This window comes from Homo sapiens, chromosome 12 (genome assembly GCF_000001405.40).
Source record: "Homo sapiens chromosome 12, GRCh38.p14 Primary Assembly".
NCBI classification, from domain to species: domain Eukaryota; kingdom Metazoa; phylum Chordata; class Mammalia; order Primates; family Hominidae; genus Homo; species Homo sapiens.
In genome coordinates, this window is record NC_000012.12 from 7,587,671 (window position 1) to 7,614,113 (window position 26,443).

Consider the following 26,443-nt stretch of genomic DNA (forward strand, 5'->3'; position numbering starts at 1 on the left):
AAAAAAAGTACAAAAACAGACAAATATACCAATGGAACAGAATAGAAAACTCAGAAGTAAAGCTACACACCTACAACCACCTGACCTTTGAACAGGCTGACAAAAACAAGTATTAGAGAAAGGACTCCCTATTCAATAAATGGTACTGGAATAACTGGCTAGCCATATGCAGAGGATTGAAGCTGGGCCCCTCCCTTTTACTACAAGCAAAATTAACTCAAAATGAACTAAAGATTTAAATGTAAGACCTCAACCTATAAAAATTTTGGAAGACAACCTAGGAAATACTCTTATCAACATCAGCCATGGCAAAGAATTTTTGGCTAAGTCGCTAAAACCAATTGCAACAAAAACAAAAATAGACAAGTGAGACATGATTAAACTAAAGAGCTTCTGCACAGCAAAAGAAATGATCAACATAGTGTGAAAAAAACATTTTAATGGTCCATCATTATGGTATGATACACCTAAGTACTGGTAACCAGCCTGTAGACATGACAAACCACATGCCTCATGCACCTAAAAAGTCACGATAAGTGAACAGAATGTAGACGAGGGGTGAGCTCATAAAAGAGAATAAAGTTTTGTTATTGGGAAATTGAAACTTAAGCAAGAAAAGGGACTGGGGTATGACCCTTTAAGGGGATAATGGAACTTGGGTGACATCTGGGAAGATTGTAACCCCATAGTACTCAACCAATGAGGAACTGGGGGAGGGACTTGTGTGCTAGGAAATGAATTGCATGCTGTAACTGCCCCAGGTGTGTCTGCCTACCAGACACCCAATCTTGCAAGACTGCCACTAAAAGTCTCACTTCTGCTGTTCTTTGTGTCTCTGAGTCCATTCTTTGGGGTTGGACAGGTGAATGTGTTTCTCACAAGCTTGGGGGCTCATCTGTGCCTGCATGAGGTGGGACTCTGGCTGAGACGGGAGATGTGTCCCACCCAATTTTAGGTGGCCCACTCTGAGCATTTTGGCTCCCCACAGAGGCCATAGACAAATTCAAGACTATTATTCAGGAGGCAGCAAAGGTGACACAGGGAGAAAAAGCAGGCACCATGGCAACCAGTCAACTTGTGCATGAGCCAAGGTAGGAAAATTGGACTGTAAGTACTGCCTTGGTGGTTGGGCATTTTTGGAGGTCATGTGTGCGTGACTGAGACACATCCCAGATATGAAGCAAGTGCAGAGTCCCAATCCACCATTCTGTTCTCCCATGAAGCAATTCTCTAGGTGTGCAAGAAACCTCCAGCAGGGGGAGTTGAGTACATAGGAAAAAAAACTCAAACACAGAGACTTACCGAAAATGGGAAACAGAAATTCTGGGCGGAGGGAACAAAGGAAAGCGGAAGCCAAAGTGACTTCCTCTAATATTCCCCCAGATAGCTCCTTGGGGAGAATTCTGCAGTTTTGGAGAGACAACCCTCCAACCAGGGACAAGAAAAAGCAAAAGATGATAAAGTATTTCTGTTTTATCTGGATCAAAGACTTTTTATTTTTATTTTTATTTATTTATTTATTTTTATTGATCATTCTTGGGTGTTTCTCACAGAGGGGGATTTGGCAGGGTCATAGGACAATAGTGGAGGGAAGGTCAGCAGATAAACAAGTGAACAAAGGTCTCTGGTTTTCCTAGGCAGAGGACCCTGAGGCCTTCCGCAGCGTTTGTGTCCCTGGGTACTTGAGATTAGGGAGTGGTGATGACTCTTAACGAGCATGCTGCCTTCAAGCATCTGTTTAACAAAGCACATCTTGCACTGCCCTTAATCCATTTAACCCTGAGTGGACACAGCACATGTTTCAGAGAGCACAGGGTTGGGGGGTAAGGTCACAGATCAACAGGATCCCAAGGCAGAAGAATTTTTCTTAGTACAGAACAAAATGAAAAGTCTCCCATGTCTACTCCTTTCCACACAGACATGGCAACCATCCGATTTCTCAATCTTTTCCCCACTTTTCCCCGCTTTCTATTCCACAAAACCACCATTGTCATCACGGCCCGTTCTCAATGAGCTGTTGGGCACACCTCCCAGACGGGGTGGTGGCCGGGCAGAGGGGCTCCTCACTTCCCAGTAGGGGCGGCCGGGCAGAGGCGCCCCTCACCTCCCGGACGGGGCGGCTGGCCGGGCGGGGGGCTGACCCCCCCACCTCCCTCCCAGACTGGGCGGCTGGCCGGGCGGGGGGCTGACCCTCCACCTCCCTCCCAGACGGGGCGGCTGGCCGGGCAGAGGGGCTCCTCACTTCCCAGTAGGGGCGGCCGGGCAGAGGCGCCCCTCACCTCCCGGACGGGGCGGCTGGCTGGGAGGGGGGCTGACCCCTCCACCTCCCTCCCGGACGGGGCGGCTGGCCGGGCAGGGGGCTGACCCCCCCACCTCCCTCCCGGACGGGGTGGCTGGCCAGGCAGAGAGGCTCCTCACTTCCCAGTAGGGGCGGCCGGGCAGAGGCGCCCCTCACCTCCCAGACGAGGGGGCTGGCCGGGCGGGGGGGCTGACCCCCCCACCTCCCTCCCGGATGGGGCGGCTGGCGGGGCAAAGGGGCTCCTCACTTCCCAGTAGGGGCGGCCGGGCAGAGGCGCCCCTCAACTCCCGGACGAGGCGGCTGGCCTGGCGGGGGCTGAACCCCACCTCCCTCCCGGACGGGGCGGCTGCCGGGCAGAGACACTCCTCACTTCCCAGACGGGGTGGCTGCCGGGCGGAGGGGCTCCTCACTTCCCAGACGGGGCGGCTGCCAGGCGGAGGGGCTCCTCACTTCTCAGATGGGGCGGTTGCCAGGCAGAGGGTCTCCTCCCTTCTCAGACAGGGCAGCTGGGCAGAGACACTCCTCACCTCCCAGACGGGGTTGCGGCTGGGCAGAGGCGCTCCTCACATCCCAGATGGGGCGGCGGGGCAAAGGCGCTCCCCACATCTCAGACGATGGGTGGCCGGGCAGAGACGCTCCTCACTTCCTAGATGGGATGGCGGCCGGGCAGAGACGCTCCTCACTTTCCAGACTGGGCAGCCCGGCAGAGGGGCTCCTCACATCCCAGACGATGGGCGGCCAGGCAGAGACGCTCCTCACTTCCTAGACGGGGTGGCGGCCGGGCAGAGGCTGCACTCTGGGCACTTTGGGAGGCCAAGGCAGGCGGCTGGGAGGTGGAGGTTGTAGCGAGCCGAGATCACGCCACTGCACTCCAGCCTGGGCACCATTGAGCACTGAGTGAACCAGACACCGTCTGCAATCCCAGCACCTCCGGAGGCCGAGGCTGGCGGATCACTCGCGGTTAGGAGCTGGAGACCAGCCTGGCCAACACAGCGAAACCCCGTCTCCACCAAAAAAATACGAAAACCAGTCAGGCGTGGCGGCGCGCGCCTGCAATCGCAGGCACTCGCAGGCTGAGGCAGGAGAATCAGGCAGGGAGGTTGCAGTGAGCCGAGATGGCAGCAGTACAGTCCAGCTTTGGCTCAGCATCAGAGGGAGACCGTGGAAAGAGAGGGAGAGGGAGACCGTGGGGAGAGGGAGAGGGAGAGATGCTGACCGTGGAAAGAGAGGGAGAGGGAGACCGTGGGGAGAGGGAGAGGGAGAGGGAGTCAAAGACTTTTTATAAAAGCCATCAGTGTTTTGGCCTAAGTTTGGCTCAGATGAGGATTGGGTGTGCCAAGCTTTAATTCTCTATGTGAATGATAAAACCACATCCTCACAAGAAAAGATACGTTATGTTCTCTGTTGGATCAAGGAATTAGCCCCCATGTTGCCCCTCAAGGAATAAGAAGAAAAAGAGCTTAGTAAAAAGCCCTTGCCTGGTGAAAAGCCCAGGGACCCCCTGTCACGCTTTCCCCCTCCATACGTCTCACAGAATAGGGGACGGGAAGATTAAGGGGCATCACGAGGGTTAGAGGAAGAAAGACCTGGAGACTGCGGGGGAGCCAAACCAGATGCTCCTTTAGAGCCTTACCCAAATTTAAGAAAAGAATTAGAACAATGTAAAAGGGATATTAAGGACTACTCTATCCTTTCCAAACAGCAGACATCTTGCATGTTCCCCATTAGGGAACTTCCCACGGGACAGGAAGAGATTGGCTTTGTAAATGCTCCGCTTACAAGTACTGAAGTCAGCAATTTCAAAAAGGGGATGAACCCACTCCTAGAAGATCCCCTTTGTTTAGCAGATAAGCTGGACCAATTCCTATGGCCCAGCTTTTACACCTGGGCTGAATAATACCTATTATAAATATTCTGTTCATAGGAGAAGAAAGGGGAATTGTTGGGAGAGTGGCCATGACTATCTGGGAGAGGCATCACCCTCCCAGAAAAGGAGTCTCATCAGCTGAGTAAAAATTTCCAAATGTCCATCCTGAATGGGATAATAATTATCCCATGGATCAGGCCCAAATGCAGTACCTCAGGGAAATAATGATTAAAGGGATTAAAGAGTCCACTCCTAGGACACAAAATATCTCTAAAGCGTTTGAGATTCAACAAGAAAAAGAAGAAATCCCCTCTTCATTCTTGCAGAGGTTCAGAGACCAAATGAGGAAATACTCAGGATTAGATCCATAGGACCCAGTAGGGTAAGGCCTTTTGAAGGTTAACTTTGTAACTAAAAGCTGGCCTGACATTACTAAGAAACTACAAAATATTGGTAGATGGAATGAGAAACTGATTAAAAAATGACTGAGGGAAGCTCAGAAGGTCTTTGTAAGGAGAGAGGAAGAGAAGCAGAAACAAAAAGTGAAAATCATGTTTTTCACTGTGGAACAGGTAGTTAGAAAAAGGTTAGATTAAGATCTCCCTCAAAAGAGACAAGGGAATGATAAATTTTGACACAGAGAGAGAAGAGAAATGCAGGGAAAAGCTCCTAAGACTATAAATGGATGTTACAAGTGTGGAAAGCCAGGGCATTTTAAAAGAGAATTTCCCAAATGGAAAAAAGAAGAAAAGGTGACCCCCTTTATGACCTTTGATGAAGGTTGGGGGGGGGGGTCAGGGGTTCCTTCTGAGTAGGTACCACCAGGAACCCTTGATAGATTTGAGGGTGGGACTCGAGGGGGAAAAAGTGACATTCTTAGTTGACACTGGGGAGGCTCGCTCCTCCCTAACTCACTGACCAAAGAGTACAGAACTCTCTAAGGAAAAACTGACAGTATCAGGGGTAAAAGGGGAGGGATTTTACATTCTGATATTCAAGAAAATTTTAATTATATTGAGACCAGATCAAATTGAGGGGTCACTCCTATATGTTCCTGAAGCAGGAACTAACCTGGGTCGAGACTTGATTGTGAGACTGGGTTTAGGATTAGGAATAGAGGAGGGACAAATAAAAGTAATGATGGACCTCCTAATAGAGGAGGAGGAAAGAAAAATCAATCCCCTTGTGTGGGTTAGGGAAGGCAACAGGGGAGGGCTAAAAATGACATCCTTATAGATTGAACTAAAACAACCAGGAGAAGTAATCTGCAGAAAACAATACCCGATTCACATTGAAGGGAGAAAATGTTTCCAACTAGTAATAGAGGGATTGATTAGAGATGGACTATTGGAACCCTCCATGTCATCATACAATATGCCAATTCTCCCAGTTAAGAAGCCTGATGGGTCATATAGATTAGTGCAAGATCTAAGGACCATAAATCAAATTCCCCAAACCTGCCACCCTGTGGTGCCTAACCCCTACACCCTCCTCAGTAAGATACCCTATGAACATAAGTGGTTTAGTGTGGTAAATCTAAAAGATGGATTCTGAGCATGTCCCCTAGACTTTAGGAGTAGGGATCTCTTTGCCTTTGAATGGGAAAATCCCATAAATGGGAGAAAACAACAGTACCACTAGACTGTGCTACCACAAGGTTTTACAGAAGCCCCAAATTTATTTAGTCAAGTCTTAGAAAAAGTCCTGGAGGAATTCCAACCTTCCAGGGGAACCCAGTTATTACAATATGTGGATGATGTTTTAATTTCTGGAGAGAGGAGGGCCAAGATTTCAGAAACCGCCATAAGCTTGCTTAATTTCCAAAGAGAAATGGGATTGTGAGTCTTCAAGAACAAATTGTGGCATGTTAGTGGCCATTTGTTAGTGGCCACAAAGCCATTGTGAGCTTTGGGAAGCTTTAGGTGGTATCTGGTTACCTTGGTAAGCCAAGCAGCTCAGCCACCCCTTTTCTCCCAAGGTTCTCCATGGAAAGAAGTGTACACAAAACAATGGGGAAGAAAGTGCCGTGTTACAGTTAGCTGGACTTGTGCTGAAACCCCAGTGTGGCTCTTTTTGGTAAGCTGGGGCGATTACTGGCAAGATGGCTGAATAGGAGCAGCTTCGGTCTGCAGCTCCCAGCGAGATCATCACAGAAGGTGGGTGATTTCTGAATTTCCAACTGAGGCACCCGGTTCATCTCATTAGAACTGGTTGGACAGTGGGTGCCACCAATGGAAGGCAATCCAAAGGGCATTACCTCACCCGGGAAGTGCAAGGAGTCAGGGAATTTTCTCCCCTACCCAAGGGAAGCTGTGAGCATCTGAGCCTGAGGAACTCTGACAGATACTGCACTTGTCCCATGGTCTTCGCAACCTGCAAACCAGGAGATTCCCTCCAGTGCTTACCCCACCAGGGCCCTGGGTTTCAAGCATAAAACTCGGCAACCATTTGGGGAGACACAGAACTAGCTGTAGGAGTTCCTTTATTCCATATGCCAGTGGCACCTGCAATGCCAGTGAGACAGAACTGTCACTTCCCTGGAAAGGGGTACTGAAGCCAGGGAGCCAAGTAGTCAGGCTCAGTGGGTCCCACTCCATGGAGCCCAGCAAACTAAGATCCACTGGCTTGAAATTCTTGATGCCAGCATAGCAGCAGTCTGAGATTGACCTGGAGGTTCAAGCTTGGTTGGGGAAGGGACATCCGCCATTGCTGAGGCTGGAGTAGGTGGTTTTACACTCATAGTGTAAACAAAGCTGCTGGGAAGTTTGAACTGGGCAGAGCCCACTGCAGCTCAGCAAGGCCACTGCTGCCAGACTGCCTCTCTAGATTCCTCCTCTCTGGGCAGGGCAACTCTGAAAAAAACGCAGCAGCCCCAGTCAGGGGCTTATAGATAAAACTCCCATCTCCCTGGGACAGAGCACCTAAGGAAAGGGGAGACTGTGAGCAAAGTTTCAGCAGAATTAAATGTTCCTGCCTCACAGCTCTCAAGAGAGCAGCAGACCTCCCAGCACAGCGTTTGAGCTCTGCTAAGGGTCAGACTGACTCCTCAAGTGGGCCTCTCACCCCCGTGTATCCTGACTGGGAAACACCTCCCAGTAGGGGCCAAGAGATACCTCATACAAGAGAGCTCTGGCTAGTATCTGGCAGGTTTCCTTCTGGGATGAAACTTCCAGCAGAAAGATCAGGAAGCAATCTTGGCTGTTCTGCAGCCTCTGCTGGTGATGCCCAGGCAAACAGGGTCGGGAGTGGACCTCCAGCAAACTCCAGCAGATTGGCAGCAGAGGGGCCTGACTGTCGGAAGGAAAACTAACAAGCAGAAAGAAATAGCACGTCCCCTCAGAGACCCCATTTGAAGGTCACTAACCTCAAAGACCAAAGGTAGATAAATCCACAAAGATGGGGAGAAACCAACACAAAAACGCTGAAAATTCCAAAAACCAGAATGCCTCTTCTCCTCCAAAGGATTGCAACTCCTCACCAGCAAGGGAACAAAACTGAATAGAGAATGAGTTTGATGAATTGACAGAAGTAGGCTTCAGAAGGTGAGTAATAACAAACTCCTCCAAGCTAAAGGAGCATGTTCTAACCCAATGCAAGGAAGCTAAGAATCGTGAAAAAAGATTAGATAAATTGCTAACCAGAATAACCAGTGTAAAGAAGAACATAAATGACCTGATGGAGCTGAAAAACACAGCACGAGAACTTCATGAAGCATACACAAGTTTCAATAGCCGAATCGATCAAGAGGAAGAAAGAATATCAGTGATTGGAGATCAACTTAATGAAATAAAGAGAGAAGACAAGATTAGAGAAAAAAGAATGAAAAGGAATGAACAAAACCTCCAAGAAATATGGGACTATGTGAAAAGACCAAATCTACGTTTGATTGGTGTACCTGAAAATGACGAGGAGAATAAAATCAACTTGGAAAACATTTTTCAGCATATTATACAGGAGAACTTCCCCAACCTGGCAAGACAGGCCAACATTCAAATTCAGGAAATACAGAGAACAGCACCAAGATACTCCTCAAGAAGAGCAACCCCAAGACATATAATTGTCAGATTCACCAAGGTTGAAATAAGGAAAAAATATTAAGGGCAGCCAGACAGAAAGGTCGGGCTACCCACAAAGGGAATCCCATCAGTCTAACAGCAGATCTCTCAGCAGAAACTCTACAAGCCAGAAGAGAGTGGAGGCCGATATTCAACATTCTTAAAGAAAAGAGTTTTCAACCCAGAATTTCGTATCCAGCCAAACTAAGCTTCATAAGTGAAGGAGAAATAAAATACTTTACAGACAAGCAACTGCTGAGAGATTTTGTCACCACCAGTCCTGCCTTACAAGAGCTCCTGAAGGAAGCACTAAACATGGAAAGGAACAACCAGTACCAGCTGCTGCAAAAACATACAAATTGTAAAGAACAGCAACACTATGAAGAAACTGCATTAACTAATGGGAAACACAACCAGCTAGCATCATAATGACGGGATCAAATTCACACATAACAATATTAACCTTAAATGTAAATGGGCTAAATGCCCAAATTAAAAGACACAGACTGGCAAATTGGATAAAGAGTCAAGACCCATCAGTGTGCTGTATTCAGGAGATCCATCTCATGTGTAAAGACACACATAGGCTCAAAACAAAGGGATGGAGGAATATTTACCAAGCAAATGGAAAGCAGAAGAAAGCAAGAGTTGCAATCCTACTCTCTGATAAAACAGACTTTAAACCAACAAAGATCAAAAGAGACAAAGAAGGCCATTACATAATAGTAAAGGGATAAATGCAGCAAGAAGAACTAACTATTCTAAATATATATGCACCCAATACAGGAGCACCCAGATTCATAAAGCAAGTCCTTAGAGACACCTACAAAGAGACTTAAACTCCCACACAATAATAGTGGGAGACTTTAACAGGCACTGTCAATATTAGATCAATGAGACAGAAAATTAACAAGGATATTCAGAACTTGAACTAAGCTGTGGACCAAGCAGACATAATACACATCTATAGAACTCTCCACCCCAAATCAATAGAATATACATTCTTCTCAGCACCTCATCGCACTTATTCTAAAATTGACCACATAGTTGGAAGTAAAACAGTCCTCAGCAAATGCAAAAGAACAGAAATCATAACAAACAATCTCTTAGACCCACTGTACAATCAAATTAGAACTCAGGATTAAGAAACTCACTCAAAACTGCACAACTATATGGAAACTGAACAACCTGCTTCTGAATGACTACTGGGTAAATAACATAATAATGGCAGAAATAAAGATGTTCTTTGAAACCAATGAGAATGAAGACACAATGGACCAGAATCTCTGGGACACATTTAAAGCAGTGTGTGAGTGAAATTTATAGCACTAAATGCCCACAAGAGAAATCAGGAAAGATCTAAAATTGACATGCTAATATCAAAATTAAAAGAACTACAGAAGCAACAGCAAGCAAATTCAAAATCTAGCAGAAGACAAGAAATAACTAAGATCAGAGCAGAATGGAAGGACATAGAGACAGAAAAAAACCCTTCAAAACATCAGTGAATCCAGGAGCTGGCTTTTTGAAAAGATCAACAAAACAGACCACTAGCCCAACTAATAAAGAAAAGAGACAAGAATCAAATAGATGCAATAAAAAATGGTATAGGGGATATCACCACTGATCCCACAGAAATACAAACCATCAGAGAATACTATAAACACCTCTATGCAAATCTAGAAGAAATGGATAAATTCCTAGACACATGCACCCTCCCAAGTTTAAACCAGGAAGAACTTGAATCCCTGAAAAAACCAATAGCAAGTTCTGAAATTGAGGCAGTAATTAATAGTCTACCAACCAAAAAGGCCAGGACCAGATGGATTCACAGCCAAATTCTACCAAAGGTACAAAGAGGAACTGATACCATTTCTTCTGAAACTATTCCAAAAAATAGAAAAAGAGGGAATCCTCTCTAACTCATTTTATGAGGCCAGCATCATCCTGGTACCAAAAGCTGGGAGAGATCCCACAAAAAAAGAAAATTTCAGGACAATATTCCTCATGAACATCTGTGTGAAAGTCCTCAATAAAATACTGGCAAACTGAATCCTGCAGCACATCAAAAAGCTTATCCACCACGATCAAGTTGGCTTCGTTCCTGGGATGCAAGGCTTGTTCAACATATGCAAATCAATAAACATAATCTGTCACATAAACAGAACCAATGACAAAAACCACATGATTATCTCAATAGATGCAAAAAAGGTCTTTGAAAAAATGTAACATCCTTTCATGTAAAAACTCTCAATAAACTAGGTATTGATGGAATTTATCTCAAAATAATAAGAGCTATTTATTACAAACTCACAGCCAATATAATACTGAATGGGCAAAAACTGGAAGCATTCCCTTTGAAAACCGGCACAAGACAAGGATGCCCTCTCTCACCACTCCTATTCAACATAGTAATGGAAATTCTGGCCAGGGCAATCAGGCAAGAGAAAGAAATAAAGGGTATTCAAGTAGGAAGAGAGGAAGTTGAACTGTCTCTGTTTGCAGATGACATGATTATATATTTAGAAAACCCCATTATCTCAACCCAAAATCTCCTCAAGCTGATAAGCAACTTCAGCAAAGTCTCAGGATACAAAATCAATGTGGAAAAATCACAAGTATTCCTATACACCAACAACAGACAAAGAGAAAGCCAAATCATGAATGAACTCCCATTCACAATTGCTACAAAGTGAATAAAATACCTAGGAATAAAATTTACAAGGAATGTAAAGGACCTCTTCAAGGAGAACTACAAACTGCTGCTCAAGGAAATAAGAGAGGACACAAATAAATGGAAAAACATTCCATGCTAATGGATAGGAAGAAGCAATATCATAAAAATGGCCATACTCCCCAAAGTAATTTATATATTGAATGCTATCCCCATAAAGCTACCAATGACTTTCTTCACAGAATTGGAAAAAAACTACTTTAAACTTCATATGGAACCAAAAAATAGCCCACATAACCAAGACAATCCTGGGCAAGTAGAACAAAGCTGAAGGCATCACGCTACTTGACTTCAAACTACATTACAAGGCTACAGTACAGTAACCAAAACAGCATGGTACTGGTACCAAAACAGATATACAGACCAATGGAACTGAACAGAGGCCTCAGAAAAAACACCACACATCTACAACCATCTGATCTTTGACAAACCTGACACGAACAAGAAATGGGGAAAAGATTCCCTACTTAATAAATGGTGTAAGGAAAAGTGGCTAACCATATGCAGAAAACTGAAACTGGACCCCTTCCTTACACCTTATACAAAAATCAACTCAAGATTGATCAAAGGCTTAAAGGTAAGACCTAGGACCATAAAAATCCTAGAAGAAAACATGGGCAATACCACTCAGGACATAGGCATGGGCAAAGACTTCATGACTAAAGCACCAAAAGCAATGGCAACAAAAGCCAAAATTGACAAATGGAATCTAATTAAACTAAAGACCTTCTGCAATGCAAAAGAAACTATCATCAGAGTCAACAGGCAACCTACAGAATGGGAGAAAATTTTTGTAATATATCCTTCTGACAAAGGGCTAATGTCCAGAATCTACAAAGAAGTTCAACAAATTTACAAGAAAAAAACAAATAACCCCATCAAAAAGTGGGCAAAGGATATGAACAGACACTTCTCAAAAGAAGCCATTTCTGCAGTCACCAGACATATGAAAAAGTGCTCATCATCACTGATCATTAGAGAAATGCAAATCAAAACCACAATGAGATACCATCTCACACCAGTTAGAATGGTGATCATTAAAAAGTCAGGAAACAACAGATGCTGGACAGGATGTGGAGAAATAGGAATGCTTTTACACTGTTGGTAGGAGTGTAAATTGGTTCAACCATTGTGGAAGGCAGTGTGGAGATTCCTCAAGGATTTAGAACGAGAAATACCATTTGATATGGTGATCCCATCACTGGGTATATGCACAAAGGATTATAAATCATGATACTATAAAGACACATGCACACTTATGTTTATTGCGGCACTATTCACAATAGCAAAGACTTGGAACCAACCTAAATGTCCATCAATAATAGACTAGATAAAGAAAATGTGGCACATATACACCATGGAATACTATGCAGCCATAAAAAAGGATGAGTTCATGGCCTTTCCAGGGACATGGATGAAGCTGGAAACCATCATTCTCAGCAAACTGTCATAAGAACAGAAAACCAAACACCACATGTTCTCACTCATAAGTGGGAGTTGAACAATAAGAACACAAGGACATAGGGAGGGGAACATCACACACTGGGGTCTGTCAGTGGGGTGGGGGGCTATGGGAGGGGTAACATTAGGAGAAATACCTAATGTAGGTGACAGGTTGATGGGTTCAGCAAACCACCATGGCACATGTATACCTATGTAACAAACCTGCACATTCACACATGTACCCTAGAACTTAAAGTATAAAAATTAAAAAAAGAACAAATTGCAATTTGTTGAAAAATAAGTTAAATATTCAGAACACCTGATTAGTGAAGGGAAGTGGAAAATAAACCCAGAAAGAATATCAGGAATAGTGGGTCTGCCTTTGTCTAAGACAAAGCGAGAACTCCAAAAAGTTTTTGGTTTAACTGGCTACTTTAGGTGCAGGCCCTCATTACAGCCCCAATCCTAGCCCTCCTATTTTTAGAGAAACTAGCCCATCTGTTTGTAATGGTAGACCAGGGTGTGGCCCTTGGGGTGCTCATTCAAACCTGGGGAGGGAAGAGGCAATCTGTTGCTTTTGTCTCCAAGCTTCTCGATTCTGACTCTCAAGGATGGCCCTAATGTGTGCAAGCAGTACCTGTCACCACCCCACTGGTAGAGAAAGTTGAAAGCTAATCTTTGGTGAGGCCCTAATAGTGAGCACCCCACATCAGGTCAGGAATATATTAAATCAAATATCTGGGAGAGAGTTAATGGATTCTCAGATTCTAAAATATGAAGCTATATTATTAGAAAAAGATGATTTGGCTGTAAGAACAAATACTTGTCTGAATCCAGCCAGTTTCCTATGGGAAGGAGAGGAGAACAAAGAGGCATAAGACCATAACTGCTTAGATATCGTAGAATACCAAACCAGAGTTAGACCAGACATTAGAGAAGCTCCTCTACATAATGGGATTAGGCTGTTTGTGGATGGGTCATCCCAAGTGATAGATGGCAAGATACATAATGGTTATGCTGTCATTGATGGAAATGAACACTCGTTATGTGAGGAAGGTAGATTACCTAATGGCTGGTCAGCCCAAACCTGTGAATTATATGCCCTTAACCAGGCCCTAAAGCTCCTTGAAGGCCGAGAAGGCACTATATATACTGACTCCAAATATGCCTTTGGGAGGTACACACTTTTGGAGAAAATCTAGCCAGAGCAGGGCTTAAGAAATAGCAAGGGAAAGGAACTGATACATGGGAAACTAATCAGCAGGTCTTAAAGAGCCTTCTGTTTTCAGCAGAGATAGCCATAGTTCATATAAGTGACCATGAGAAAGGGAACACTATGGAAGCTGTAGGGAACAGGCTTGCTGATGAAGCTGCCAAACAAGCCTCTCTACAGGAAGAAATTAGACTATTTAACCTAATTCTAGACATCTTGAAGGTAATATTAAGGCCCCAATTCACTAGAGAAGAGAAAGAGAAACTAGGCAAGATAGGGGCCACTCAGACTGAAAATGGAGGGTGGGTACTTCCTCATGGGAGAGAAATGATAAGTAAACCCCTGATGACAGAACTAAAGTCTATATTACACAAAGGGAGTCATTGGGAACCCCAGGCTCTGTGTGATGTAATACTTAAGAATTATGGGTGTATAGAGATTTACACCCTCACTAAATAACTATGTAGAAGCTGTGTAACTTGTCAAAGAATAAACAAAATGGTGATTAGAAAACAGGCCTTTGGAGGAAGACCTCCTGGACTAAGACCAGTTCAGAGCATTCAAGTAGATTTCACAGAAATGTCCAAGGTAGGAAGACCAAAGTATTTGCTGGTGATTGTAGATCACCTTTCCAGCGGGGTGGAAGACTTTTCCTTTCTGACAGCCACTGCTTGGAATGTGGTAAAAATAATATTAGAACACAGTGTACCTAGATTTGGCCTGGTGGCAAATATTGATTTGGACAATGGAAACCACTTTACCTCAAGGATGCTAAGGGGAATTATGGAAGGTTTACACATTAGATGTGAGTATCACACTCCTTGGCATCTCCATTCCTCTGGAGAGGTAGAGGGAATAAATCAAACTCTCAAAAAGCATATTACCAAACTAATCTTAGAAACTAAAATGGCTTGGAGAAAATGTCTCCCAATAGCACTCCTTAGGATTAGGACAGCCCCAAGAAAATACTTGGGATTGTCCCCCTCTGAGTTATTATATGGGCTCCTGTGTTTGGGCAGAGCTACAGATCTTCCTACTAGGGAAACCAAGGACCAATTCTTAAGAAATTGCATACTGGCTACATTCTCCATCGTGTCATCCCTTCGGTTAAAAAGACTTCTGATTGAAACTCCACCTCTTGAGTTCATGACTCACCACTTCCAGGCTGGTGACTCCGTGCTGATTAAGACTTGAAAAAAAGACAACATCCATCCAAGTTGGAAAGGTCCATATCAAGTACTCCTAACCACCAAGACAGACATGCAAACAGCTGAACGAGTGGACTCACTTTACTCAAGTCAAGGAACTGGTAAAAAAAGAAAAAAACAAAAAGAAGCCAGAAGGGAGAGGAAAAAAAAAATGGAGGCAGGGCAGGTTGGCTCATACCTGTAATCTAAGCACTTTGGGAGGCCGAGGTGGGTGGATCACTTGAGGTCAGGAGTTTGAGACCAGCCTGGCCAACATGATGAAACCCTGTCTCTACTAAAAATACAAAAATTAGCTGGGCACGGTGGTGTATGCCTGTAATTTCAGCTATTTGGGAGGCTGAGGTGGGGGAATCACTTGAACCTGGGTGGTGAAGTTTGCAGTGAGCCAAGATCGCACCACTGCACTCCAGACTGAACAACAGAGCAAGACCCCACCTTAAAAAAAAAAAAAAGAAAACCAATGCAAAGTGCATGGGTCACCTGAGGAAACCTTAAAATTAACTCTGAGAAAAAACTAAAAAGAAAACATGAGCTGGCCTCATCTCTGGAAGTCAGTATGGCTGGGATGGGTTACTATACAAAGAGCAGAAGGTCAAAATGGAAATTGGCAGGGGACTCTTCCATACCCAATCAAGTTAGTGATTAATTTGACCAAGACAGTAGCACCCCACACTATAAGATTTGATGCCTGCCAGGTTTTATCTCATGGGAATTTAGAAAACCAGAGACAGCTCTCACAGGTGGATAAATATCTTTGTCCTGAACCAGATACAGCTTATGATAGGGCATCACCCTGCTCCAGCTGGGATGATGTATGGTGGAGTACCAAATTTCATGGTTGGACAATAAACATGGGGTGGGTAACACTGAGCTGGAGACCCTTGAAGAATAAACTACATCTGTCCAAGGGCTCCCCACCAAATAACTGCCAGAATATAGAATGCAGTCCTACACTCATCACCATTGACAATCCAGCCGTTCTAGACCAAGAACCAAAAGTAGTGTCTTGAGTATATGGTTAGGGGCAGACATCACAGGAAAAGCCCCCATAGAGAGATTTGTTCTCAAACTGATTAAGAACTTGACCTCCCATTTGCCTGGGACTACTCCAACCCCAGTCCCTAACACACACTTTAATCCATCAAATAATGACCCTAAAAGAGTAGAAATAATTGAAGTAAAGGATTTATGGCAAACCTTAGAAACTGAGACAGGGAACAGAGATGTGAATGCCTGGGTCAAATGGCTCAAATTTTTGGTATAAACACTGAACAAGAGCAACTGCTACACGTGTGCTGTGGGAGGACCTCAGGCACAGGTGTTTCTGTTTCCCCTAGGCTGGGTATTGATCCTGAAGGAATGTGTTGCATGTTGGCTCTAAACCAGGACAAGGATGCATGGGGAAATGAGACTCATAAGAGTCTGTCATTGATCTTTCCCACATTGTGGAGGTCAGATTCCAGAGCAATCCCCTCCTTCTCTATAGGGAATATGAACCACTCCTCTTGCCTCTTTAGGCAGGGGCAGAGTTCAATAAGCCTATGGGAGAACTCTCGACTTGTACCCACATTCTAAACATCACAGGTAAGTCAGGCAATGGCAATTACTCAGCTTTTATATACCCTGGGCTGATGTCTGATGGTATTATGGGAACAGGAACCTCGGTAACCTGTTACCATCTAATTGGACCAGGACTTGTGCTTTAGTTCAATTGGCCATTCCCTTCACCCTGGCATTCCATAAAATACCTGAAAATACACATGGCCATTGGAACAAGAGAGACTTAACAAATTCTTTTTTTCTCATAAAAATATTATATTTTTCAGAAGAAATATTACACATAATACATTGAAAATCACTGATTGTTTTTCTTCTTTTTTCTGTGAATGTGTAGGTGTTTGAGTCTCTTGTATTTCTTCTTTTATACAGGATATGGGCTGTTAGAAAACTATTTCATTATATTTATCATCATCATTCATTTCAGCCACTTCAGATTTTTGTCTCTCCAAAAATACTGGTGTACAAACTGGTGTGGGGCCCTGGCTATCCACGGTCTTCTCAGGAGTGTCAAGAGTGCCAAAAACCCTTTTCTTCTTCTTACAGAAAACCTGGCCTTTTGTAGATGTCTGATGATTAGTTTTTAAAATACTTTCTGTTTTCTGTAAAATCAAAGAAGGAAAATCATAATCAATTCCTTTTTTAGCTCATTTCTTCCTGAGTAATCTTTGTTTCTTTTTAAATCACTCCTCCATCCGTAGCTTTTGTGTTAGTGTCCGATTCTGATTATAACATTTCACTGATGATAAGATGGCTGCTTAAATGGAATATTCCAGTCTTTAAAGAGCTCTTTGTGTACTTTTTCAGGTGGCATATAATGACACTCCAAGAGTCTTTCACCAAACAGGTACTTGTTCATTGTTTCATCAACTATCTTGGCAACATCCTCAAACTCAAACTTGCAGATGCATAGCCTTTGCTATTTCCAGTCCTTTTACTTCTGAACAGTCTGAACCATGTAACAGTGCCAAACTGGGAGAAATACGAAAAGATCTGGGTTTCATTAAGTAGGTGGCACACAAAGACTACTCTAGGAGTAAGTTGTTCTTGTTCTTTTTGCTGGGTTGTGCACTTGCAAACCTCTACCACCTCCTTTTGAAACTCGACATCTTCCTGCGGGTTAAGTGACAGGATTGGCCCAGCTGGTACAGAAAAGGCTGCCATGCCAAAAGCGGCCATCACTAACTCTACGAGGCACTCCTAGAAACGTCAGGTTCTCAGCTCCCCAACAAATTTTTTTGATCGTAATATATATGTTGCCTTCATAGGAGTCCCTAGAGGGGATGCCTAATGAATTTAAGGCCTGAAACCAAATAGCTGCTGGGTTTCAGTCAGCACTCCTCTCATGATCAGCTATTAATAAAAATGTGGATTGGATTAATTCTATTTATTATTATCAACAGAAATTCATCAATTATACTCGGGACACCCGAGTTTAATTAACTAGCCAGTTACATGCCACCAGCTGAATGGCCTGGGAAAAGAGGCTTGAGCTAGACATGATACTAGCAGATAAAGGGGGCATATGTGTTATGCTGGGTGGGAAATGTTGTATTTTCATTCCCAACAATACTGCCCCAGATTGAACTATTACAAAAGCATTACAAGGACGGAAAACTCTCACCAACAAACTGGCAGAAAATGCTGGAATTGATGACCGATTTACTGGTTGGCTAGAAGGTTGGTTTGGGAAATGGAAAGGCATGGTAGCTTCAGTCCTTACATCTCTCATAATTGTAGCAAGGGCCTTAAGGGCAGTGGGATGCTATATTATCCCTTGTATACTGGAACTAGCACAAAGGTTAATTGGAACAGCTATTAACAAACAAATGCCCATGACCTACCAGCAAAATAACTTACTGTTGTTAGACACTGAACCAGACTATGAAGAAGAAAGTAAAGTAGTCCTAAAATGATTTGAGGACGAAAGGACCCAAAAATTAAAGTAAAAATAAGACCAAAAGATGAAAAGAAAGAAAGAAAGAAAGAAAGAAAGAAAGCAAGAAAGAAAAGAGAAGAGAAGAAAAGGAAAGGAAAGAAAAAAAAGGGAACTTGTAAGAAAACATTTTAATGGTCCATTTTCAAGGCATGATAGACCTAAGTACTCGCAGCCAGCCTGCGGATATGACAAACTGCACAGCTTATGCACGTAGAAAGTCATAATAAGCAAACAGAATGTAGAGGAGGGGTCAGCCCATAAAAGGGAATAAAGTTTTGCTATTGGGAAACAAAAACTTAAGCAAGGAAGGGGACCAGGGTGTGACCCTATAAGGAGATAATGAAACTTAGGTGACGTCTGGGAAGATTGTAACCCCATAGTACTCGACCAATGAGGAACTGGGGGAGGGACTTGCGTGCTAGGAAATAAATTGCCTGCTGTTACTGACCCGGGTGTGCCTGCCTACCAGACACCTGATCTTGCAAGACTATCATTAAAAGTCTCACTCCCACCTGGTGCAGTGGCTCATGCCTGTAATCCCAGCAGTTTGGGAGGCCAAGGCAGGTGGATCACTTGAGGTCAGGAGTTCAAGACAAGCCTGGCCAATATGGTGAAACTTCATGTCTACTAAGAATACACAAAAATTAGCTGGGCACTGTGGCATGTGCCTGTAATCCCAGCTTCTCAGGAGGCTGAGGCAGGAGAATTGCTTGAACCCAGGAGGTGGAGGAGGCTGAGGAAGGAGAATCACTTGAACCCGAGAAGTGGAGATTGCAGTAAGCTGAGATCGTGCCATTGAACTCCAGCCTGGGTGACAAGAGCAAAACTGTGTCTCAAAAAAAAAAAAAAAGAATGACGAGGCCTTCACCATCCTGGAAGGTGGTGCCCCCAGGCCCCAGGCACATGGCAAGCTGGATGCTGTTGATGGAGTAATGAATGGTAAATACTACCAGGAAAGTAATAGTCCAACAGACAGTTGTGCAGCATTTCACAAGTGGATAGATTGCAGTCAGAGCCTGAAAGTATCCGTAAATGGAGAGAAGAGCAAACAGAACGCTTGGAAGCCCTTGATGCCAATTCTCAGAAGCAAGAAGCAGAGTGGAAAGAAAAGGCAATAAAGGAGCTAGAGGTGTGATATGTGAGATAGGATGAGCAACTACAGAAAACAAAAGCAAACAGGGCAGCAGAAGAAGCCTTTGTAAATGACATTGACCAGTTCTTCCCAGGCACTGAGTGGGAAAGTGTGGCCTGGCTGTGTAACTTTAACCCCAAGTCCAGAAGGCAGGCTAAAGACATCTCCCAGAGGTGCTCAGTCCTCATCTCCCTCAAGCAGGCCCCGCTGGTGCACTGAAGAGCCACCCTGTGGAAACATGTGCAGGAAACATCTGCAATATCTTAATCCTACTCAGCAAAGTTCTTCACAGTTATTGGATTAATTATGTTGAGTTATTTTGGACCAAACCTTTTTGTCTTTAGAGTTGATCATTGTTTGTGATTGCATGTTTCCTTCAACTGTGTTCTACCTGGCATTCAGAGAGTAGGGGGAGTAGGAAGAGGAAGAGAGAGAAGCCTCCCAACAGTAGCCTCGACCTATGCTTTTGTGCATTATTCTGAGAATAAATTTCTGTTTCAAACTATTAAAAACAAAACAAAACAGGCAAAGGATATGATACTTCCCAAAAGAAGTCATACAAGTGGCCAACAAACCTATTAAAAATACTCAGCATTATTAATTATCAGATAAATGCAAAGCAAAACCACAATGGGATACTATAACATGAGTCAGAATGGTCATTATTAAAAGGTCAATAACCAACAGATGCTGGTGGCATTGTGGAGAAAGGTAATGCTTATGCACTGCTGGTGGGAATGTAAATTCATCTAGCCAGTCTGGAGATTTCTCAAAAAACTTAAAACAGAGCTACCATTTGACTCAGCAATCCTGTTACTCTATATATACTCAAACCTTCCTAGCTAACATGGTGAAACCCCGTCTCTACTAAAAATACAAAAAAATTAGCCGGGCATGGTGGTGAGCCCCTGTAGTCCCAGCTACTCAGGAGGCTGAGGCAGGAGAATGGCATGAACCTGGGAGGCGGAGCTTTCAGTGAGCTGAGATTGTGCCACTGCACTCCAGCCGGGGCAACAGAGTGAGACTCCGTCTCAAAAAAAAAAAAAAAAAAGAAGATATATTATTTTACCAAAAAGACACATGCACTGGTATATTCATCACTGTGCTACTCACAGTAGCAAAGACAAAGAATCAACTCAGGTGCTCATCAATGGTAGTCAATGACAGATTAGATAAAGAAAATGTGGTACATTGCTTTGCTGGTGCATGTGCTTGTGGGCAGAACTTTCCTTCACTTCCCTGTCAGTGCCTGTGTGGGCATGCACCCTGACATGCCACAGCTGCTGGCATGAGTACACTGCACACCTTCAACACCCTGCTGTGCTGCTATTACCATTGAAAAAACAGCATTCACAGGCACAGAAACCACCAGACTTGCACTCACCAGCACCCTTCCCCCATGCCAACACTGCCACTGGCAGAAAACTACCGAGGGAGACCAGCAGACCTGTCCCCAACTCAGTGGTAGATGCTGCCCATGTTAACGTGCACACAGAGGATGTACACAAGCCCATGCCAACCGGTGCGCTGCCAACACCACTGCCAGTGCAAATGTGTGTATGGGCACCACTGGGTTCCCCTACCCCCATGCCATACAGCCACCACCAAAGCTGTGACTGCCTGCACAATGGCTGGCATATCTGCACTCACCAGCACCCCACTACAGTTGATGAGCATGCACCCTGCTGCACTGCTGTTGTTGCTGGCATATGCAAGTGAGGATGAATCCCACTGCTACCTTGCTACAAAGTGCTGTAGCTGGCACCATCCATCAAAGTGTTGTGACCAGTGGTCCAGGAACAAATTGGCCTCTCCAGTGTAGCAGGCTTCTAACCTTCAGGAGCTACAAAACAAAGCAAGGGGCTAATACCAGCTGCTCAGAATTACAGCACCACAGTCCAGTCCAGAAGTCCTGAGCTGAGCCTTGGACCCCTAAAATCTTCCAGAAACAAAGCCAGTTGCCTGAACCCACCTTATATCACAATCAAATCCCCAAGGACATAAAGAGAATAAAAGAAAAAAAAACCTACCCAAAGCTTAGCAACTTCAAAGTTTGAAGGAACATCAGACCACAAAGAGAAGAAAGAACCAGTGCAAGAACTATGGCAACTCAAAAAACCAGAGTGTCTTACTTACAAATGACCACAGTGGTTTCACAGCAATGGTTCCTAACCAGGCTAAGATGGCTGAAGTGACTGACATAGAATTCAAAATACAGATAAAAATGAAGATTATTAATATACATGAGAAAGTCAAAACCCAATCCAAGAAATCTAAGATTATAGAGCAATATAGGAGACAACGGATGAAATGGCCATTGAAAAAAAGAACTAAAATTATCTGAGAGAGCTGAAAAACACTCCACAAACATTTCATAATGCAATCACAAGTATCAACAGCAGAACTGACAGAGTTAAGAAAATAATCTCAGAGCTTGAAGACTGGCTCTCTGAAATAATTCAGTCAGAGAAAAATAAAGAAAAACAATAAAGAAGAATGAACAAAACCTCTGAGAAATATAGGCTTATGTAAAGAGACCCAGTGTATGACTCATTGGTGTGCCTGAGAGACAGAAAGAGAAACTAAGCAACTTGAAAAACATATTTCAGGATATCGTCCATGAAAATTTTTGCCAACTCACTAGAAAGGCCAACATTCAAATTCAGGAATTGCAGGGACAGGGAAGCCATGCAAAATACTACACAAGAAGACCATCCCCAAGACACATAGTCATCAGATTTTCCAACAACAAAATGAAAGAAAAACGTTAAAGGCAGCTAGAGAGAAGGGACAGATCACCTACAAAGAGAATCCCATCAGGCAAACAGCAGACATTTTAGCAGAAATCCTACAAGCTAGAAGAGATTAGAGACTATATTCAGCATTTTTAAAGAAAAAAAATTTAACCAAGAATTTCATATTCAGCCAAAGTTTTACAAACAAAGGAGCAATAAGATCCTTTTCAGACAAGCAAATGCTAACAGAAATTGTTACTGCCAGACTTGCCTTACAAGGATTCCTGAAGAAGGTGCTAAATATGGAAAGGAAAGACTGTTACCAGCCACTACCCCCCCAAAAAACCGCAAAACTTAAGTGACACTATAAAGCAGGAACACAAACAGCCTGCATCATTACCAGCTAACAACATGATGACAGGATCAAATCCACACATATGAGGGCTAACCTTGAATGTAAACAGGCTAAATGCCCCAATTTGAAGGCACACAGTGGCAAGTTAGATAAAGAGGCAAAACCCAGTGGTACGCTCTCTTCAAGAGACCCATGTCACATGCAATGACACCTATAGGCCCAGAGTAAAGGGATGGAGAAAAATCTATCAAGCAAATGGAAAATGGCAAATAGGAGTTGCTATTCTAATTTCACACAAAACAGACTTTAAACTAACAATGATTCAAAAAGACACAGAAGAGAACTAAATAATGATAAAGTGCTCGATTCAACAAGAAGACCTGTTAAATATATACACACCCAAAACAGGAGCACCCAGATTAATAAAGCAAGTTCTTAGAGACCTGTGAAAAGATTTAGATAACTACACAATAACAGTGGTAGAATTTAACACCCCACTAACAGTGTTAGACAGATCATTGAGGCAGAAGACTAACAAAGACATTTTGGACCTTAACTCAACACTTGACAAAATGGACCTGATAGACATCTACAGAATTCCCCACCCAAAAACAACAGAATATACATTCTTCTCATCTATGCATGTCACATATTCTAAAATTGACCACACAATTGGACATAAAACACCCCAGCAAATACCAAAAAAACCCAAACTCATACCAACCATACTTTCAAACCACAGTCCAACAAAAATAGAATCAATGCTAACAAAATTACTCAAAACCATACAATTAAATGGAAATTAAACAATCAGCTCCAGAACAATTTCTGGGTAAACAATAAAATTAAGGCAAAAATCAAGAAATTCTTTGAAACTAATCAGAGGGCCGAGCGTGGTGGTTCATGCCTGTAATCCCAGCACTTCGGGAGGCCGAGGCGGGCAGATCATGAAGTCAAGAGATTGAGACCATCGTGGCCAACATGGTGAAACCCCATCTCTACTAAAAATACAAAAATTAACTGGGCGTGGTGGCGCATGCCTGTAGTTCCAGCTACTGAGTAGGAGACTGAGGCAGGAGAATTGCTTGAACCTGGGAGTCAGAGGTTGCAGTGAGCTGAGATCGTGCTACTGCACTCCAGCCTGGCAACAGAGCGAGACTCCATCTCAAAAAAAAAAAAAAAAAAATTAATTAGAAAAACATACAACATACAAGAATCTCTGGGACACAACCAAATCAGCGTTAAGAGGGAAGTTTGTATCACCAACCACCCACATCAAAAAGTTAGATCACAAGTTAACAACCTAACATCACAACTAGAGGAACTAGAGAAACAAGAGCAAACTAACCCCAAAGCTAGCAGAAGGCAAGAAACAACCAAAATCAGAGCTAAACTAAAGGAGATTGAGATGTGAAAAACCATACAAAAGATCAATGAATCCAGGAGCTGGATCATTGAAAGAATCAGTAAGATAGACTGCTGGCTATACTAATAAGTAAAAATGAGAGAAGATCCAAATAAACACAACCAGAAATAACAAATGGGATTACCACTGATCCCACAGAAATACAAAAAACCCTCAGGGACTATAACAAACATCTGTATGCACACAAGCTAGAAAACCTAGAAAAAATGGATAAATTCCTGGAAACATACAATCTCCCAAGATTGAACCAGGAAGAGATTGAATCCCTGAACAGACCAATAATGAGTTCCAAAATTGAATCAGTAATAAAAAGCCTACCAACCAGAAAAAGCCCAGGACTATATGAATTCACAGCCAAATTCTGCCAGATGTACAAGAAAGAGCTTGTGCCATTGCTTCAGAAAGTATTCAAGAAAATTGAGGAGGAGAAACTTTTTCCTAACTCATTCTACGAAGCCAGCATCATCCTAATACCAAAACCTGGCAGAGACACACAAACAAAAAGGAAGTTTCTGGCCAATATCCTCAATGAACATATAAGGTTGGTGCAAAAGTAATTGCAGTTTTTGCCATTGAAAATAAAGGCCAAGTGGCCAAGTGTGGTGGCTCATGCCTGTAATCCCAGCACTTTGGGAGGCCAAGGCAGGCAGATCACTTGAGTCCAGGAGTTCGAGACCAGCCTGGCCAACATGACAAAACCCCATCTCTACTAAAAACACAAAAATTAGCCAGGTGTAGTGGTGAACACCTGTAGTTGCAGCTACTCAGGAGGCTGAGGCAGGAGAATCGCTTGAACCTGGGAGGCGGAAGTTGCAATGAGCCGAAATGGTGCCACTGGACTCCAGCCTGGGTGATAGAGAATCCATGTCAAAAAAGAAAGAAGGAAGGAAGGAAGGAAGGAAGGAAGGAAGGAAGGAAGGAAGGAAGGAAGGAAGGAAGGAAGGAAGGAAGGAAACAAAGAAAGAAAGGGAAAAGAAAAGCCAAAACTGCAATTACTTGTGCACCAACCTAATAGATGCAAAATACTCAACAAAATTCTAGCAAACCTAATCCAGCAACACATCAAAAAGCTAATCCATATGAACACGTACGTTTTATCCTATCCCTGAAATGCAACTTTGGTTCAACATACATAAATCAATAAATGTGATTCATCACATAAACAGAACCAAAACCAAAAACCACATGATCATCTCAATAGATGCAGATAAGGTTTTTGATAAAATTCAACATGCTTTCATGTTAAAAATTCTCAACAACCTAGTCATTGAAGGAATAGACTTCAAAATAATAAGAGCCATCTGTAAAAAACTCAGAGACAACATCATACTGAATGGGCAAAAGCTGGAAGCATTCCCCTTGAAAACCAGTGCAAGAAAAGAATGCCCTCTCTCACCATTCCTATTCAACATAATAAGGGAAGTCTTAACCAGAGCAGTCAGGCAAGAGAAGGAAGTAAAAGACATCCAAATAGAAAGAGAGGAAGTAAAACTATCCCTGATTGCAGATGATGTGATTCTATACCTAGAAGACCCCTATTCTCTGCCCAAAAGCTCCTAGATCTAATACACAACTTCAGCAAAGTTTCAGGATACAAAATCAGTTTGCAAAAATCAGTAACATTTCTATATACCAACAACTGTCAATTTGAGAGCCAAATCAGGAACACAATCCCATTCATAAAAGCCACAAAAAGAATAAAATACCTAGGAATATAGCTAACCAGGGAGGTGAGATATCTACAATGAGAATTACAAAACACTGATAAAATAAATCAGAGATGACACAAATGGGAAAACATTCCACGCTGATGAATAGAAAGAATCAATATTGGAGAAATGACCATACTGCCCAAAGCAATGTATAGATTCAATGCTACTTTTATCAAACTATCAACATTTTCTTTACAGAATTAGAAAAAAAAGCTATTTTAAAATTCATATGGAACCAAAAAAGAGCTCAAATAGCCAAAGAAATTTATTTAGTTATTTAGTTATTTATTTTACAAAAAGAAAAAAACCTGGAGGCATCACAATACCTGACTTCAAACTACCTTACAAGTAATGAAAACAGCATGGTACTGGTACAAAAACAGACACATAGACCAATGGAACAGAATAGAGGGTGCAGAAGTAGTACCACACACCTACAATCATCTGATCTTTGACAAAATCCAAAAAAGCAAGCAATAAGGAAAGGACTCCCTATTCAATGAATGATGTTGGGATAACTGGCTAGCCATATGCAGAAGATTGAAGCTGGACCCCTTCCTTACATCATATACAAAAATTAACTCAAGGTGGATTAAAGACTTAAATCTAAAACCAAACACTATAAAAACCCTGGAAGATAAGCTAGGTAATACCATTCTGGACACAAGACCTGGCAAAGACTTCATGACAAAGAACGAAAGCAATTGCAACAAAAACAAGAATTGGTAAATGGGACCTAGTTAAACTAAGAGCTTCTGCACAGCAAAA

The 26,443-nt window shown here is 43.1% G+C and overlaps 2 pseudogenes, besides 3 other annotated features; one reads left to right on the forward strand and one right to left on the reverse strand.

The window, feature by feature from the left end:
• Nucleotides 1,143-1,437: an enhancer, noted in NCBI's record as "tiled region #13430; HepG2 Activating non-DNase unmatched - State 12:CtcfO, and K562 Activating DNase matched - State 12:CtcfO". NCBI's record gives its function as "activates a minimal TATA promoter and a strong SV40 promoter by Sharpr-MPRA in HepG2 and K562 cells {active_cell/tissue: HepG2 | K562}" and the evidence as "EXISTENCE:reporter gene assay evidence [ECO:0000049][PMID:27701403]".
• Nucleotides 16,584-17,562, reverse strand: NIFKP3 (NIFK pseudogene 3; annotated as a pseudogene).
• Nucleotides 19,230-19,951, forward strand: LOC100131676 (clathrin light chain A pseudogene; annotated as a pseudogene).
• Nucleotides 20,959-21,459: an enhancer, noted in NCBI's record as "H3K4me1 hESC enhancer chr12:7761225-7761725 (GRCh37/hg19 assembly coordinates)". NCBI's record gives its function as "activates a minimal SCP1, AML or CMV promoter by ChIP-STARR-seq in primed H9 embryonic stem cells {active_cell/tissue: H9 hESC(primed)}" and the evidence as "EXISTENCE:reporter gene assay evidence [ECO:0000049][PMID:30033119]".
• Nucleotides 22,570-22,770: a silencer, noted in NCBI's record as "peak1559 fragment used in MPRA reporter construct". NCBI's record gives its function as "represses an SCP1 promoter by STARR-seq MPRAs in K562 erythroleukemia cells {active_cell/tissue: K562}" and the evidence as "EXISTENCE:reporter gene assay evidence [ECO:0000049][PMID:32103011]".